This window comes from Homo sapiens, chromosome 2, assembly GCF_000001405.40.
Source record: "Homo sapiens chromosome 2, GRCh38.p14 Primary Assembly".
Lineage (NCBI taxonomy): Eukaryota > Metazoa > Chordata > Mammalia > Primates > Hominidae > Homo > Homo sapiens.
Window position 1 is genome coordinate 212,643,277 of NC_000002.12, and position 19,903 is coordinate 212,663,179.

Consider the following 19,903-nt stretch of genomic DNA (forward strand, 5'->3'; position numbering starts at 1 on the left):
GGGGTTTTAACCATAAAGAATGCTGGATTTTGTCAAATACTTGTTTTTCATCTATTGAGATGATCATGTGGTTTTTGTTTTTAATTCTGTTTATGTGGTGTATCACATTCATTGACTTGCGTATGCTAAACCATCCCTGCATCTCCGGCATGAAACCCACTTGATTATTGTGGCTTATCTTTTATTATTATTATTATTATACTTTAAGTTCTAGGGTACATGTGCACAATGTGCAGGTTTGCTACAAATGTATACATGACATGTGCCATGTTGGTATGCATTGTTCTGAGCAAACTATCGCATGGCTTATCTTTTTGATATGCTGTTGGATTTAGTTAGCTAGTATTTTGTTGAGGATTTTTGCATCTATGTTCATAAGAAATATTGGTGTGTAGTTTTCTTTTTTTATTATGTCCTGTCTTGGTTTTGATATTAGGGTGATACTGGCTTCACAGAATGATTTAGAGAAGATTCCCTCTTTCTCTATCATTTAGAATAGTGTCAATAGAATTGGTACCAATTCTTCTTGGAATGTCTGATATAATTCAGCTGTGAATCTGTCTGGTCCTGGACTTTTTTTTTGTTCTTGTTGGCAATTTTTAATTACCATTTCATTCTGACACTCAAGGGCTGCTGTTCAGGTTCCTTTGTCCCTTGGGGTGCTCCCTTGATTTGGTGCTCTCCCCATTCCCCAAGACATGATGGGGCTTCCTGAGAGCCAGACTGCAGTGATTGTTATTTCTCTTCTGGATCTAGCCACCCAGGGAAGCTACTGGGCTCTAGGCTGGTACTGGGGAGTGTCTACAAAGAGTCCTGTGATGTGATCTGTCTTCAGGTCTCTCAGCCATGAATACTAGCACCTGCTCTGGTGGAGGTAGCAGAGGAGTATAGTGGACTCTATGAGGGTCCCTGGTTGTACTGTTAAGTATGCTGGTTTTGTGTTGTTTGGCTTCCAGCCAGGAGACGGCACTTTTAAGAGTACAACTTTTAAGAGCTACAGTAGTATAGGGAGGATACAAGCTTGCCCTAGGATCAAGCTGTGGGTGGGGTCATAGAGCTCCCAAGAGATTATGTCCTTTGTCTTCAGCTACCAGGGCAGGTAGAGAAAGACCCTCAGGTGGGGGCAGGGTTCAGCATGTCTGAGCCCAGGCTCTCCCTGGGCAGGGCTTGCTGTGGCTGCTGTAGGGGATGGGGATGTGGTTCCCAGGCCAATGGAGTTATGTTCCCAGGGGAATGATGGCTGTCTCTGCTATATCACACATGTCACTAGGGAAGTGGGGGAAAGCTGGCAGCCACAGGCCTCACCAAGCTGCCACACAGCCCGCAGCCCAAAAGGCCAGTCTCACTTCTACCATGCTCCCCCAGCAGCACCGAGTTTATTTGCAGGCAGCCAGTGAGCAGGGCTGAGAACTTGCCCCCAGCTACCAGCCTCCCAGCTGAGAAAGCAAGCAGACTCACAGTTCCTTGGCTGTCCCATGTAGCCTGCATTGGCAGTCCACCTCCTTCAAAGGGTCTGTGGATTCTCTCAGCTTTCCTGGTATATTCCTGCAGTAGTTCTTGGAGCAAAATTTCACAATGTGAGTCTCCACACCCTGCTGTGTTCACAGCTCCAAGGGGGAGCTGCAAGTTAGTTGTGGCTCCTATAGGCCTTTTTCTTTGTCATTTTATTGCTTCTTTACTCATTGTATATTTGTTTTTTAAAAAGTTTCAATGATTTATTGATTCAGAAAGCTTTACGTGCCCAATTTTGTGGTCTGAAAATCTTCTCTTTTCACTTTATTCATTTCTCTATTGCTACTATTTACATTGAACACTGAATTGCTTGCTGACAAAGCAAAAACTGTATTTTTTCCTCCTAAAATCAATTTATTAATTTCTTTATCATCTTTAGAATCTATTATATGCAATGCATTTTTTACAAATAATCCTGGTATGACTTTTGACTGTTACCTTCCTTTTTTCCTATTTTACAAATCTCAACTCAATCCCATTTCTGATCTGTAGCATCATTTATTTGCCACTAATATGGAAGAATTGTGAGTCAAATAATATCCAAAATATTCTCTAATAGCAAGCTCAACCTTGTGTTCCCAGGATCCCAATTACATAAATTTAGAGCAGAGCTATGACAGAGTTCAGGGATTAGCTTCAGAGTGTCCAAAAACATACCTGAAATTGTGTGCAAAATCTGAACTGTATGTTCATGTATGCATTTTACTGGGAAGAGAGCTCATAATTTGCATCACAAAGAAGGTATTACCAAAAATTATCAAGAACCACTACTTTAGGGCACAAGGTGGCATTGCAGAGCATTCATAATGAGGTGGAAAAAGCTGATTTTGAGTCAGAAGAGCTGATTTTACATTCCAAGTTGTCACCATTAACAAGACACATATGAGAAATATATAGGAATTACATATCCTACTGAAAATTTTGAATATGCCATTCATTGATAATACTGGAAAACAGTGAAGTCCTATTACAGGAAATTAAAAACTAAATGCAGGCAAAATAATTAATTGCAATTCAATTTAGGGTTTATCATTGATATAAATTAATTTCCACATAATATTCCTGTAAGAACTGACAAGGAAGACATTTTTAAAAGGGAAGTATTGTTTCCAAATGGCAGAAATAGAAAGAAAAGGAAAATAAGATCTAGAAAGAAATGAATCACATAATATAGTTTGTGTTATAGATATTTGGATAAGTTATTGCCTCTAGGTTATAAATTCCTTGAAACGGAAAACTTTAACAAACATCTTTTACTACAATGCGTGACTAACAGTGATTGGATTTACCAGGTTCTCAAGAAATCAGTGGACATGCTGTATTTCCTATGTGATCTTCAAAATCAAATTAGGTGTTGTCTCCCTACATGAACAACTTCTCCTGCATATGAAAACAACTTCTGTTTAGGTAAAGATAGAAAATGAGTTTTAGGTAGAGAAAACAAAAACAGTTGAAAACTTTGTAACAAATTACTTCAGGAGTATTATAAACAGGCATCAAACCAAAGGAAATACCATCCCCTAAATTCAGTGGTGGAGTCTCTATGGATAACTTAAGCATGGAAGAAGCAATAGATTTGCTAAAGGAAAAAAGGTATGCCTAAGATAGTGATAAATCAAGATGAAAAACAAGTAAATGTAATATAAATACATTTACAAATATAAAATAAATACTCCTGTAAAATTGTATTTATTAGAGGATTAAGCTAATGTTTATGCACTTAATCTAACACTGTAGAAATCCACCCAAATAAGTTAGTTTGGCAGTAGACTTTTTTCCCTTGTCTCAAGTTACATGGATTCCAGTCAACTATCTCACAAGCAGGTAGGGGTTTCAAGCACAGGCAAATGATTAAAATTATTTGAGGCTTGGTGGTGGGATTCGAAGGGGACTTTCTGAATGCCGTTCACACCATTTGCTATAAGAATTTGTCTCTAAAAGGTATTTGATGCCCTCTACATATAGTACTGTGTTAGAGGCTGGTGATATAAACAGTTGCCAGCTGTGTCACAAAAATCAGCGTGACCCAGAGTTGGGAAGCAATGAGAACACAATTTACTACATAGGGTTAAGCAAGGATATTGACCTTGTGGCAGCCAGCACATATTGGGTGGTTGACTCAGGGACTGAGTCAGACTAAATTAGCTCTCAGTCTGAAGAGGAGTAAAACTGACAAAAAACATGGTAATGTTGCCAGAGTGTTCCAGCTCAGGCATGACAATTCAACTTAGCCTGGCTAAGATAGATAAATACCTGGTTGATCAAGTGGACTGCTTTGAAAAGTGAGAAAATCACAGCAGAGCAGACCAAGGAATAAGAGCAGAAGGCAGCTGTTCAGTAACCAGGGCAAGAGAAGGTAGGTTTCTGTATTAAGGCTTGAGGTTAACTAACATTCCATGCAGTATTTTCGAAGAGGAATAATGATACCCAATAGAAGTCTCCTTTGTCTTAAAGGAACCACTTCACAAAGATGAGTGGGGCTTGTAGACAAATTTCTAACTGTCACGGCCCTTGCCATCATGAAACTAGTTTTAGAGACAAGATATACACATAAAAGTCCAAATAAAAAAATGTTACTGTGTTTGTACTGCATATAAGCTATTGTACTAAACCTTGTAGAGGATGCAAGGATGAGACTAACATAGTAGCAGTCCTTCAGGATTTTATAGTCTAATAAAAGGATAAATATGAAGACTAAGTTCGCAGTTTTAAAGGGTAAGTGGAAGGTGAGTGGAAGTAAGTGTGAGGTCAAGTCTAAAATGACAGAACTGTGAACTGCTAGGGAACTATGGTCGCACTTAAATCACACTGGCAAACAGTACTTCAATACAGGGTTAATCATCTCAAGCAAGTATTTCCTTCTGGGAATTAAAATTCCTGCCAATAACAGATGAAGATCTAAAAAGATCACCCATTTAGTTAAGTGGTAGGAAAACCAGTGTTGTTGACATGTCACTTTAGCCACACCTGCACCCTGCGCCCCACAAAAAAAGACACCTAGGTACAAAGTGTGAGTGTACTTGTGTATGTGTGCGCATATTCCTAAAAACCGACAGTTTTTCTTAAATACCTCCATGCCTAGTCTTATTATTCAAAAGAGGTTTTTGAACCTCTAATTTTAAAAAGAATATGTCATTTGTTATATATTTGCTTCCAATTACTTTTATTTCTTCTTTCTGGAGTGGAAAAAATTTAACTTCAATATTCACAGATTAGTATTATTCCTTACTATTCTTCTCTTTCACCAAAATTCTTAAATAAGTAGCATATAAAAAATGCCAAGTAAACTCAAATAGACCATTTACACATTTAAAAACTGTGCATAAATAAATTATAAATTCTAAACACAAATTGTACTTTCCCACTTGTTTAGACTGCACTAGTTAACATATACTACCAAACAGAGTGACAACTTGGTAAATGTGGTATTTTTAAAATCTCCAATTAACTTATTCTGAAGTATGTCCTAAAGGAATTGATTTCACCATAGAATCTTAAGAGACTTTGAGTTCAGTTGTTCAAAAAAGAAAATACTTTATGATGAATCAGAAATGATGAGTGTGGTAATAAAGAATTATGAAAATTGGAAAGAAAGCAAAATTATTTTAGAATACTTAATTATATGCCTAAAATATTCAAACAAATCAACTGAAAATCTGTGGATTAAATAAAAAAGAAGAGGAGTTACAAACCGTGCCAACCACAGTGACTGAGAAGTTCAAGAATTGTCAAGTGAGCCCGTGTGGCTCTCAGTGGAGGACAAACACCATGCTCATGAGTCTTCGTATGGTCAGTTCATCAACCCCTTGCATGGTCAGCATCTTAGTACATTTTTCACTGGTATAACAAAATATTAGATTGGTGCAAAAGCAATTGTGGTCTTGGCATTACTTTCAATGGCAAAAACTGCAATTGCCTTTGCACCAACCTAATACCTATGACTGGGTAATTTATAAAAGACAGAAGCTTATTCTCATAGTTTTGGAGGTTATGAAGTTCAAGATCAAGGCTCTGGCAGGTTTGGTTGTCTGGTAAGGGCTGCTTTCTGCTTCCAAGATGGTGCCTCTTTGTTGCATTCTCTGGAGGGAAGAAATGCTGCATCCTCACATGGCAGAAGGTGGAAAGGGCAAGCTAATGGTGAAGCCTCTTTTATAATGGCCTTAATCCCATTTATGAGGATGAGGAGCCCTCATAACCTAATCACCTCTTAAAGTTTTCACCTCTTTATACCATCACTTTGGCCATTAAGTTTCAACATTTGAATTTTGAAGGGGGTATATTCAGTCAGGTTGACTATTTTAGTTTTTAAATTCTTTATTCTTGGCCATATATTATTTATTTTATATCCAGGATGAACTGTTGATCAAAAACAGGAGGCATGGATGTTAAAAGATAACCACTTTAGGATAACTGTAGAAAAGTTGACATTTTCACAAATTTACTCAAGAGAATTCATTCATTTATTCAAGAAATATACAATAAATGATTATGCTATATCAGGTGCTATGCTAAGTATTTGGTCTAAAATGAACAAAACAGACAGGATTCCTAATCTCATGGATTTTAGAATCTAGTTGGTGAGATAATAACTCAATATACAAATAAACATATAATTATAAACTCTGTGATCCCTATGAGGAAAATGATTGAGAGAAAATAAGAGCAAAATTTAAATTAGGATTCATCTCTGGAAAAATAAATATTTAACATGAGATCAGAGTGATTAAAAATTATGAAGCATTCCAGGAAGAGAAATGAAAAATAGTTTGGTGCCATTGGGAAACAAAATAATGTCATTGTGTCTAGAACTTGGCATCCAGAGGAAACTTGCATTTAGAGAGGTGGGCAGTGACAGACCATTGCTGTACCTAGTAAGAAATTAGACTTTTATTCTACTTGCAGTTGGAACTACTGAACAGTGGAATAAAATGGTTTACACTTTCAATGATTGTTATGACTTCTATGTGGAAATGCTAATAAGGTGACAAAGATGGAAGAAGGAACAGCAGGAGGCTATGGCTGTAATCCAGGAAAAAATTTACCTTGGCAAATGCTGTAAGCAAATCTACAAACGGACTTGGACTATGGTGGGGGCAGTGGTAATGGAGAGAATTGGATGTGATTGAGAAAGTTTTGGCAGTGAACTGGATAAGATTAAGATTTGTTCATAAATTGGATATGCAGAATGAGAGCAATAAAAAGGTAATGTTTGGGTTTTTTTTTGTTGGTAGGTCTAACACTTGGAATAACCTTTGGCACAAAATAGATACTCCATAAATATTTTTTGAATGAATGAGTGAAATTCTTGTCCTATATAACTAAATTAATGCAGGTATCATTCACTAAGGTGAGGAAAACTGGAGGCATTACATTTTGACAGACATTCAGTTTGATATGCCTGTTAGAACTCAGAGTAGACCATTAGAAATAAATCTGGAGCTCAGAAAAGAGGCCAGAATCCAAAATATGAATTCATGAGTTACCAACATAGAGATGGTATCTAAAGCCATTGAGCACATAGAATGAGAAGAAAAGAGGACTCCTGGCTGAGCCATGAGAAGACATAATACTTTAGGTATAGGTAAAAAAAAAAAAAGAGGAATTAATAAAGAAGACTGATAAGGAGTACCCAAGGAGGAAGTTGACATCTGAGACAGTGTGACATCAAGGACACAAACATAATAGAGTGCTTATAAAGACAGTCAATAGTGAAAAATTTTAAATCCATTAGATTCATAACACTGAGATCATTGGTGACCTTTGGCAGAGCAGGGTTTATAGAATAACAGAGGCTGATAATAAAATGGACATGGGCTGAATAGTGAAGGAAGGGTGAGGAAGTGAAAATTATATATGTGGATAACACAATTATAAGTTGAAGTTATCTGATTGAAATTCTTACCTTGCCTATATAAATGTTTTTAAAACTCTAGAAATTAAATGTTAATAAGACACAATGGCCGGGTGCGGTGGCTCACACCTGTAATCCCAGCACTTTGGGAGGCTGAGGCAGGTGGATTACTTGAGTTGGAGACCAGCCTGGCCAACATGGTGAAACCCCGTCTCTACTAAAAATACAAGAATTAGCCAGGCATGGTGGCACATGCCTGTAATACCAGCTACTCGGGAGGCTGAGGCAGGATAATAACTTGAACCCAGGAGGCAGAGGTTGCAGTGAGCCGAGATGGCGCCATTGCACTCCTGCCTGAGCGACAGAGAAAGACTCTATCTCAAACAAACAAACAAACAGAAAAAAAATTAATAAGAGACAGTACAAGAGTGATTTATGTGTAGCTTTTCATCTATTGGGAAGAAAGGTTATTCACATCTAAAAACCATTCTTATTTCATTATTTAAGCACAAAGTTCAGAAAAACATTAAAATATATTTATGTTCTAAAAAAGAAAAAGGTTTTTAAAAATCAAATCATGAATGCAATTTTTTCTATTTTTGATGCTGTATCATGTTGACAGCGATAAAATCCTTAGGAGATGGAGGAACACACATAGAATGACTGTGTGGAGCAATGGCACCCACCTGGCTGCTTGGGAGGGCTTGTCTTACTTAGATCATCACATACTAAGAAGTAAACTTACTGAATATTTGAGATTTTGCTACAGTAGCTTAAACTACTGCAACTAACATACTGAGGTAAAAATAAAATATTTCTCATTTAAAACCATTTGCTTATAATTAAAATAGAAAAATAATGAAAGTATTTCAAAATTCTACATGGAGTTTACAAAATTTATATTATCATGAAATACTTCAATAGAGGGTTGGGAAATCTAACTCTGGAGGAAATGCCACAAATTTCCACTGCTGGGGTTTTTGAAGATGCTCTGGTTCCTATCTTTTCTTCTAGCTCTCCTTTCCCTCAATTGTATCCCCTATTTTTTTCTCATAAGCTAGCTCAAGTTGGTTACTTATAACCCCCCTCCAAGAAATTAAACCAATGCTTCTTGTTTCTAAAAGTAGTCAAAAAAAAAAAAAAAAAAAAAAAAACAGAACATGGAAAGCCAGCATTTTTTAACTAGTCTCTGGAAAACAAAAAGAAGCCTAACATACCAAGTAAAGTGACAGCATTTGAGTTATTTTAAAATTTTTCATACATGACCATACCAAATGAATAGCATGAGAAATTGACCAGGGACTGAGGTGACACAGAGAATGAACTGGTTTGGTAAAGATGGTAAATTCATATTCCACTTCCTTCAATAGAGTTAACTTGCATGCTAACTTTTTGTTACATACCACCACTAGTTTAAATTTTAATTGAAATGGAAAGAAACATTTAAAATCTGAACTGTCTCCTCTTACTCTTATTTTGTGGCATTTTGGTCAAAATAAAGGCACATCTATAAATAAGAATGGACAAAATAGAATAACATTTTTGTGTGAGTTCCTTTGATGATACCAAAAAAGGGAGGTTACGAGTAACTGAATCAAAGAGTGTTTCTTGTGTAGTTTTAGAACAGAATAAAAATTGATGAAGTGGCTGAAAAATTAACCACTGTATTATATTCTGCCTGAATGCAAGCACGCTCTCTCTCTCTCTCTTCTATACTCTTTCAATGCTATGCTCAAAAAAGATTATGAACAGTCCAACCTTCCTGTCACTTTAATTCAAAAGATTAGGTTGCTGGAACATAGAAGGCAAGAGTGGTACTTTGTCAAGATCAGACCAAACTTGGAATATGTTGCGCAGTTCTGGAAAACAAAATTTTGGCAGATATTGACAAAATACACATGGATGAAGAAGGGCTATGTTATATAATTGATCCAACAGGTATCATTTAGCCTAGAAATGGCATTAAAAACTACCCTCAAACCTTTGAGAGGCCATCACATGAAGGTTGCCCATCTTCTGCCCATAGCCAAGTGTCCAGGGTGGTGAAGCTAGAGTATACTATTAGGGCCCTTGGATCCTAGAAACAGTCACCTTCAGATTGCAGCATTTGGAGCTAATAGGAACAAAAACTTATCAAAGCTTGGACTAATGCTGCTAGGTCACACAAACAATTTATTAAACTGAAGAGGCTAAGCCAAAACATGAATAAGAATAAACAGAAATGTCAGATATCAAATAAAGTCAAAGATTAAAGATAAGACTGTAGTAGAATCCTGGCTTAAAATAAGTTCATTATGTAGAACCAACTATCACTTTGCTGAAATTTCATTTTTTTTTTTTGCTTCCAGAAAGAGGAGGTAAAGGAACTCCCCAGAGCCTTAAGGGAATGCTTGAGCTCTGATGGAAGTAATTTAACACTTTTTATAAGTTACTAAGTACCAGGCACTTTACATGTATTACCCCATTTAACCCTTACCACCGTTTTAAATTTGCACATACTGTTCTGATTGTTGTTCTCGTTTTACAGATACATTATACTGCCCCACTACACAGCATTAAATGATTACATACGACACCTGTGAGATGAACTTCTTCAGAGCATTACAGCAGAAGGCAAATTTTGGATAAATGTAACTCTTTGCAAACTTTTCTGAAAATAGGAGATGCTGCCTCAGGCTGAAGGGAGGTTTCTGTCATTTAGAAGGTTCAAGAATATCTGAGAGACATACAGAGTAGTTATGCATTAGGTTAGGTGAGAAAATTCCTAAGCTCCCTTCCACTTTTAAGATTCTAATTCTATATTTAGAGTACAAGGAGTAAAGTGAAGTATTTAAGAGCAAGGAAATTAGGTCAAGGTAACCTGGATTTAAATCATATGTAATCCATCCAATACCAACTGTTTGATTTTGATCAAGTTGCATAACTTTTCCAGGCACCAGTGTCCTTTTATTTTTCCATGAAGAGAATGGTATCAACCTCGCCAGTTTGTCTATAAGATTATGAGAGACAATGTAGATAGTGTGCTAAGTACCGTGCCTGACAAACAGGGAGCATCAATAATTGATAGCTGGTGTTAATGCGGTTCCATGGATTGCATATTGCTTAAACTTTGTCCACAAACAAGCAATTTTGACATTTTAGTGACTTCAGAGTTTCTATTTCAAGATGAGTTGAACTTGACAAAAGATTGGCGCAATGAAGGGGAGAGAGAAGAAGGAGAAACAATACAGAAGACAAGAGCCCTATAAGAACATTTTTCTTTTTTTTGTTTTTAACTTTTATTTTAGGTCCGGGGGTAGCTGTGTAGGTTTCTTAGATGGGTAAATTGTGTGTCGCTGAGATTTAATGTATTAATTATCCAATCACCCAGGAAGTGAGCATAAGATATGGTAGTTTTTCAACCCTGGCTCCCCTCTGAGCCTCTCTTGTCTATGTCTATTAGCCCCTGGTGTCTATTGTTCCCATCTCTGTGTCTGTGTGTACTTAATGTTTAGCCCCCACATATAAGTGAGAACATGCAGTATTTGGTTTTCTGTTCTTGCATTAATTCACTTAGGATAATGGCCTCCAGCTGCCATCCATGTTGCTGGAAAGGACATTATTTTGTTCTTTTTTATAGTTGTGTAATACTCCATGGAGTACATGAACCACATTTTCATTTTTGAGATAGGGTCTCACTTTGTCACCCAGGCTGGAATGCAGCAGTGTGATCTTGACTCACTGCAACCTCTGCCTCCTGGGCTCAAGCAATCCTCCCACTCTAACTGCCCAAATAGCTGAGACTACCAGTGCACACCACCATGCCTGGCTAACTTTTGTGTTTTGCGGGGCAGAGATGGGGTTTCTCCATGTTCCCTGGGCTGGTCTCAAACTCCTGGGCTCATGTGATCCATCCACTGCCTTGGCCTTCCAAAGTGATGGGATTATACACATGAGCTACTATGCCTGGCCTTGTACCACATTTTCTTTATCCAGTCCACCATTAGTGGGCATATAAGTCGATTCCATCTCTTTGCTATTTTGAATAGTACTGTGATGAACACACACACACACACACACACACACACACACGTATGTCTTTTTGGTAGAATGATTTTTTTTTTCTTTTGGGTATATACTCAGTAATGGGATTGCAGAGTCAAATGGTAGTCTGTGTTAAGTTCTTTGAGAATCTCCAAACTACTTCCCATAGTGGCTGAACTAGTTTAAATTTCCAACAACAGTGTATAAGCATTAACTTTTCTGCACAACCTCACCAACATCTGTTGTTTTTTGCCTTTTTAATAGTAACCATTGTGACTGGTGTGAGACAGTCTCATTGTGGTTTGAATTTGCATTTCTGTAATGATCAGTGATGTTGAGCACTTTTTCATATACTTGTTGGCTGCTTGTATGTCTTCTTTTGAGAAGTGTTTGTTCATGTCCTTTGCCCATTTTTTAATGGGATTTCTTGTTTTTTGCCTGTTGAATTGTTTAAATTCTTCATAGATTTTTGATATTAGACCTCTCTCAGATAGATAGTTTGTGAGTATTTTCTCCCATTCTGGAAACTGTCTGTTTACCTTGTTGATAGTTTCTTTTGCTGTGCAAAAGCTCCTTAGTTTATTAAGTCCTTCTTGTCAATTTTTGTTTTTATTGCAATTGCTTTGGGGGACCCAGTCATACATTGTTTGCCATGGCCAATGTCCAGAATGGTATTTCTTAGGTTTTCTTCTATGATTTTTATAGTTTGAGGTCTTATATTTAAGTCTTTAATTCATCATGAGTTAATTTTTGTATACGGTGAAATGTAGGGGTCTGGTTTCATTTTTCTGTATATGGCTAGCCATTTATTCAAGCACCACTTATTAAATAAGGAGTCCTTTCCCCATCACTTATTATTGTTGATTTTGTCAAACATCAAATGTTTGCAGATGTGGGACTTCATTTCTGGGTTTTCTATCCTGTTCCATTGGTCTGTGTGTCTGTTTTTGTACCATACCATGCTGTTTTGGTTACTGTAGCTTTGTAGTATAGTTTGAAGTTGCATAGGTTAGCTGCATTCCTAGGTATTTTATTATTTTTGTGACTGCTGTAATGGGATTGCATTCTTGATTTGGTTCTCAGCTTCAATTTTACTGCTGCGTAGAAATGCTACTCATTTTCATATGATGATTTTCTATTCTAAAACTTTACTGAAGTCATTTATAAGTTCTAATAGCCTTTTGTCAGAGTCTTCAGAGTTTTCTAGATAGAATCATATCATCTGCAAAAGGAGATAATTTGACTTCCTCTGCTTCTATTTGGATGCTTTTAATTTCTTTCTCTTGCCTAGTTGCTCTGGCTAGGACTTTCATTACTATGTTAAACAGATGTGGTGGGAGTGGGCATACTTGTCTTGTGCCACTTCCCAAGGGGAATGCTTCCAGCTTTTGCCTATTCAATAGGATGTTGGCTGTTGGTCTGTCAGAGATGGATCTTATTATTTTGGCTTATGTTCCTTCAATGCCTAATTTGTTGACTTTTTTTAAAACATGAAGGAATGTTGGATTTTATCAAAAACTTTTCTGTGTCTATTGAAATGATCATATGGTTTTTGTTTTCTATTCTATTTATGTGGTGAATCATATTTACTGATTTGCATATGTTGAACCAACCTTAAGTCTCAGGAATAAAACCTGCTTGATTGTGGTGAAATAACTTTTTTATGTGCTGCTGGATTTGGTTTGCTTGTATTTTCTTGAGGATTTTTGTGTCTGTTTATCAAGGATGTTTGCCTGATGTTTTCTTTTTTCCTTGTGTCACTGTCAGATTTTGGGATCAGAATGATGCTGCCTTTGTACAATGGGTTATTAAGGCATCCCTCCTCAATGATTTTTTTGGAATAATTTCAGTAGGGGGTACTAGCTTTTCTTTTACATCTGGTAGAATTTGGCAGTGAATCCATCCATCTTGTCAAAAGCCTTTTTTGGTTGGTAGTTATTTTTATTACAGATACAATTTTGGAACTCATTATTGGTCTGTTCAGGATTTCAATTTCTTCCTAGTTCAATCTTGGGGGATTATGTGTTTCCAGGAATTACTCTACTTCTAGGGTATCTAGTTTGTGTGCAGAGATGTGTTCATAATAGTTTCTAAAGTTGTTTTGGCCTTTCTGTGGGGTTGGTTATAATGTCATCTCTGTCATTTCTTTTGTGGTTATTTGGATCCTCTCTTTTTTCTCTTTGTTAACCTAGCTAGTGGTCTACCAATCTTGTTTATTCCTTCAAAATACAAACATTTGGTTTTATTGATATTTGTATGTATTTTTACATCTAAATTGTGTTCAGATCTGCTCTGATTTTAATTATTTTTCTTTTTTTTGTCAGCTTTGGGGTTGATTTGATCTTGTTTTTCCAGTTTCTCCAGGTTCAATGTTAAATTGTTAATTTCAGATATTTCCAACTTCTTGGTGTAGGTGTTAAGTCCTATAAGCTTTCCCCTTAACACTGCTTTAGCTGTGTCCCAAAAATTCTAGAACGTTGTGTCTTAGTTTTCATTTGTTTCAAAGAATTTATTGATTTATGCCTTAATTTTGTTCTTCACCCAAAAGTCATTCAGGGGCAAGTTGTTTAATTTCCATTTTATTGTGTGGTTTTGAGAAATCTTCTTGGTATTGATTTCTATTTTTCTTGAACTGTGGTCCAAGAGTATGGTTGGTATGATTTTGACTTTTTTGAATTTGTTGAGACTTGCTTTATGGCCAAGCATGTGGTCAGTCTTAGAGAATGTGCCATATGCAGATGAGAAGAATGTATACTCTGTTGTTATTCGGTGTGTAGTCTGTAGATGTCTATTAGGTCTAATTGGTCTAGTGTTAAGTCCAAAATATCTTTGTTAGTATGCTGTCTAAAGTTGTCAGTGGGGTATTGAAGTCTCCCACTATTATTGTGTGGTTATCTATGTCCTTTTGTAGGTTTCTAAGAACTTGTTTCATGATTCTGGGTGCTCCAACATTGGGTGTGTATATATTTAAGATAGTTAAGTCTTCTTATTGGATTGTACCCTTTATCATTAGGTAATGCCCTTCTTTGTAATTTTTGATCATTGTTGGTTTAAAGTCTGCTTTTTCTGATATATGAATAGAAAATCTTGCTCTTTTATTCCATTTGCGTGATAGATCTTTCTCCATCCCTTTACTTTGACTTATGAGTGTCATTACTTGTGATAAGGATTTCTTGAAGACATCATACAGTTGGGTCTTGCATCTTTATCCAACTTGCCACTCTATGCCTTTAACTGGAGACATTTATAGCATTTACATCCAAGGTTATTATTGACATGTGTGATTTTAATCTTCTCATCATGTTGTTAACTGGCTGTTATGTAGACTTGGTTGTGTAATGCTTTATAGCATCAGTGGGCTATATACTTAAGTGTGTTTTTCTGGTGGCAGCTATCTTTTTTTGTTTCCATGTTTAGCATTCCCTTAAGGACCTCTGAGTAAGTAAGGCTGGTGTAGTGGTAGCAAATTCCCTTAGTATTTGCTTATCTGAAAAGGATTTTATTTCTCCTTGCTTATAAAACTTACTCTGGTGGTGTATGAAATTATTGATTGTAATTTATTTTCTTTAAGGGTGCCATCTCTTCTGGCTTGTAAAGTTTCTGCTGAGAGGTCTACTGTTAACCCAATGGGGTTCCCTCTGTACATAACTTATACCTTTTCTATAGCTGCTTTTAAGATTTGTTCTTTTGCACTGATCTTGGTGAATCTGATGATTATGTGCCTTGGGGATGGTTGTCTTGTATCATATCCAGCCAAGGTTGTCTGTATTTTTTGGGTTTGCATGTTAACTTCTCTAGAAAGATTAGGAAAATTTTCATAGACTATATCCTCAAATGTATTTTCCAAGTTGCTTATTCCCTCTCCTTCTCTCTCAGAAATGCCAATGAGTCACAGGTTTGGTCTTTTTACATAATCCCATATTTCTTAAGAGATTTTGTTCACTTTTTAAAAATTCCTTTTTTCTTTAATTTTGTTGACTGTGTTGGTTCAAAGAAACAATCTTCAAGCTCTGAAATTCTTTCCTCAGATTGGCCTGTTCTGTTGTAAATGCTTCCAATTGTATTATGAAATTCCTGTAGTAAATTTTTCAATTCCAGAAGTTCAGTTTGGTTCTTTCTTAAAATGGCTATGCCATATTTCAACACTTGGATCAGTTTAGTGTTTTCTCTGGATTGGGTTTCCACTTTCTCTTGTACCTCATTGAGCTTCCTTGCCATCCAGATTCTGAATTCTGTGTCTGTCATTTTAGCCATTTAAAGTCATTGTTAGGGAGCTAGGTGTGATCATTTAAAGGTAAAGAGACACTCTGGCTTTTACAATTGCCAGAGTTCTTGCACTGGTTCTCTCTCATCTGTTAGGACTGATGTTCATTTATCTTTTGAAGTTGCTGTATTTTGGATGTAGCTTCTTGTTTTTATATTCTTCATTTCCCTTCAGAGTTTGACTGTGGTGTAAGTTGAGTGTAGTTGATTGGGTTCACTTCTGGATGCTTTTAGAGGGCCCATTCTCAGCTCAGCACTTCTGAGTTGTGTGCTCTAACCCTAGGGGTCTGGGACTGGGCCCACAGCTTTGTCCTCTGGCTTCTCAATATTGAGAACCACCTGTGCTAGGGGGCGAGGTGCTCCTAGGATGCTGGTAAAAGTGCTCTGGCAGGGTGGCAGATACCACCATTGAAAGCATTCTTGTGGGGTGGTGGGGGCCATTGGTAAAAGGGCTGTGGTGATGGTTTCCAGTCAATGCGCTCGAGCAGAACACTGGAGAGTGTGCTGTGTGCCTGCTCCCACAGGACTGGTCAGGCAGGGACAGAGAGGGGCCAGAAGACAGAAGGGCAAACAGATCAGACTCACCCTGGTCCTGTGGGAAAGAGAGCCCTGCTCTTTCCAGGTCCAGCAGTTAACAAATGTCAGAGCCACCAGGAGAAATATGGAGAGCCTTAGGGGATGGGTGCCTATGGCTGTGTTCTTTCAGAGCTTTCCCCGTGCCAAACCCCTCAGGCTCTGTGCAGACTCAGGCTCTGTCTCTGCTGACTCTCAGGTTGAACAGCCCATGACAATTCAAACGTCCATGGGGGTCATGGGATCTCCTGCAGCTAGGATCCCAGGTATTCACATTGAGAGTGGGTTGCTATGTACTTTACTCACCCCTTTCTTAGGAGCCGTTCAGGGCCAGGAAAAAGTCCTGGCACTCGGTAACTTCGTGCAGGGTTCCCAGCTTTCTCCCCTTTCAATCCTGGTGTCTGTGTCATCTCTCCATCCACCCCCAGTGCATTTCTCTTAGAAGTTCTGTTTAGAGTATGCTGGTCTACTCAATATTCTGGTCTTTTTCAGTGGGAGAAGCTCTTTTTGGCTGTCTTTAGTCAGAAATCTTGTCCCAGTCTCTGAAATTTCTAATCACTGATCTTGGTCAGATTCCATTAGTTTTCTTGATAAGATAATCAGATGAACCAAACCAGTGTGAAACAATGTGGAACGAGCACACTAAGATTCTTTCAGCCAGAAATTAACTACAAAGACTAGTAGTGTACCAAAAGCAAGATAATTTTCAATTTGTATGAGAATCTTATTTTAGCAAGAAATCATTTTATTGTTGTATATCAATTTTGATCATCTTTTTAAATTTTTCTCTCTTTTTTCTCTGAGATTTTTTGTCTGATTTTATCTGAGATAAAAAATCATTCTCTTCTCAGATTAAAAAGATTGTAGTGCAGTTTGGGAGAAGAGAGATACAGTGATCTGATGTACAGGAAACATGAAGGAAAAACACTTTCTTTATTAAATACCACAAAGAAAATAGTTACAAAGAAGGCAACAAAGCAAGCACTCAATACACTGATGTTAAAGAACCATTCTAAAAATACTTATTGAGACATTTCAGCAAAGCAAAATTAAATAATAAGAAAACCTAAGAGATCAGCTGATAGTAAATGCTTGATTTGAGATGAGGCAGGTAGTAGCTAGATTTCAGCTATAGCTAATTTTAACATGGACCTTTAGATCTATGGATGGGAAAAAATTTTTTTAGAGATGGTTTGTTGCCCAGGCTGGTCTAAAACCCCTGGGCTTAAGCAGTCCTTCTGTCTCAGCTTCCCAAAGTGTTGGGATTACAGGTGGGAGCTACCACACACACTTTACTTGGTTTTAATAAATAAAATGAAGACTCATAAACTCACTACCTAACCCAAGACCTAGGATATTACCAATTACTTACATTTATTTGGATGTCACTCGTCTGGTCCCCTACATAGAAGTGACCACCGGGCAGGGCACAGTGGCTCATGCCTGTAATCCCAGCACTTTGGGAGGCCAAGGCAGGCGGATCTCGAGGTCAGGAGATCGAGACCATCTTGGCTAACACAGTGAAATCCCGTCTCTACTAAAAATACAAAAAAAAATTAGCTGGGCGTGGTGGCGGGCGCCTGCAGTCCCAGCTACCCGGGAGGCTGAGGCAGGAGAATGGCGTGAACCCAGGAGGCGGAGCTTGCAGAGAGCCGAGATCGCGCCACTGCACTCCAGCCTGGGCGACAGAGCGAGACTCTGTCAAAAAAAAAAAAAGAAGTGACTAGCATTCTAAATTTGTTCTTTCATTTTATTTAGAGATTCATTACTTACATCGGTATGCCTAAATATTTGTACTTTTACTTGTCTTGTGAACTTTTTTTTTTAATTATACTTTAAGTTTTAGGATACATGTGAACTTTAAGAAAAGGGAATCTGGTACTTGCTTTCTGACTCAACTTGATGTTACTAAGATTGATGCAAAAAAAATCCATGCATTAATTTATTTTCACTTTTATATAACAAAACTGGATGTACTACAATTTATTCAACAATTATTGTATATTTGGGTTGTGCTAGTTTTTGCTGTTACCAACAGTGATGCTACAAACATTCTTTCTCATATCTTTTAGTGCACATATTTATAGATCCTCTTGGGAATTTGTGAGTCCAATTTGTGGAAATATTCATCTTAGAAAATAATGTCAAATTGTTTTCCAAAGTAGATGCATTTTACATTACTGCCAGCAATCAATAAGAGACCTCAGTGATCTGAAATTTGAGGGAAACTTCTTAATTTTTGCCAGTCGAAACTGTGTAAAATGGTATCTCAATGAGATCTTGAGGTTCTTAGATATGGTTAGAGGCTAAAAAATTCCTGAGATTGATCAAAGAGCATGATTTCTGAATTTATATTTTAATAGAGGAATTGAAAAGAAAATTGGTCATCACTAAATTATAACCCTGGAAAAGTAATGGGAAGAATCATCATAAACCAGAAAATACTAAAGAAATTTTAAAATATGAGCAAAAAGAGACATGAGAAAGTTAGAGCTGGGAGTTAAAGCATGTGAACGATAATAATAAGAGGGAGAAGGGAACAGATTGAGGAGGAAAAAATAATTAATATGCAGAAGTAAATGTGATTACATTTTTCCCCTTTGTAAATATTCACAGGTGATGAAGACCTTGCCTAATGAGGATAAAAATTAATTAAACACCATCATTGTCCTTGAGAATGCCAATACAGCACTGACAAAGATTTCAAGATTACATTTAAAAAGAAATCTCAGATATATGCTACTTATGAGAAATAAATGTATGAAACAGAATCAAATGTGTTAAAAATAAATAGGAAAATTAAGAAACCAGAAAAAAACACTAGGAGAGAGATATTAATAGTAGATATAACAAGATTTAAGGTAGAAAGCATTAATAGAACAAGAAAGAATAGATTTACAATGGTGAAATAAATAATACATGGAGAATTCTCAATAGTCTTAAAAATATTGCTTCATATAAGATAAAATGCTATCAATTGAAGCTAAAGTTAATCAAACCTGACACTGACACACTTTAATACATTTTTTCAGAATCTGACAAAAAATAAACCAGGAGACAAAATACTGAAGTCATTTAATTGCTAATTTCAGATTAATAGATAGTCTAGAATTTTGATTTCATAAATAGAATATCCACTTTCTCTTTTCATTCATAAAACATTTAAAAATTCCATCAGTACTGATCAAGATTAGTTGCAAAATCAAAGTTTTTATGTTCCATATTCTGTATTAGTCTAAAATTTTAGAGAACAACAATAAAAATATAAGACCTCCCAAACAATAAAATATTTTAAAATTAAGAAATACTATTCTAAATAACCATTAAACTAAAAGGAAATAAAAATTAAAATGGCAACTTGTCTAGAAATTAGCATAAATAGGACAACATCATCATAAAACTCATGAGATTAGTGAATTCTCTATTTAGAGAAAAATGCACAGCCTTAAATTGTTTCCATCATTAATAAATAATTTACAAGTAAACCAGTTATGTAACTTTGAAAACAAGAAAAAGAAAAGCAAAATAAATTAAAAAGTAGGAATGACTCTAGAAAAATGTGACTGTATAGGAAATAGAAAATTAAAAATTAATAGAAATAATACTTAAAATTAAAAATAGTTTCTTTGAAAAGACCAATAAAAGGAAACATAGGCTTGATAATAAAGAAAGAAGAGAGAA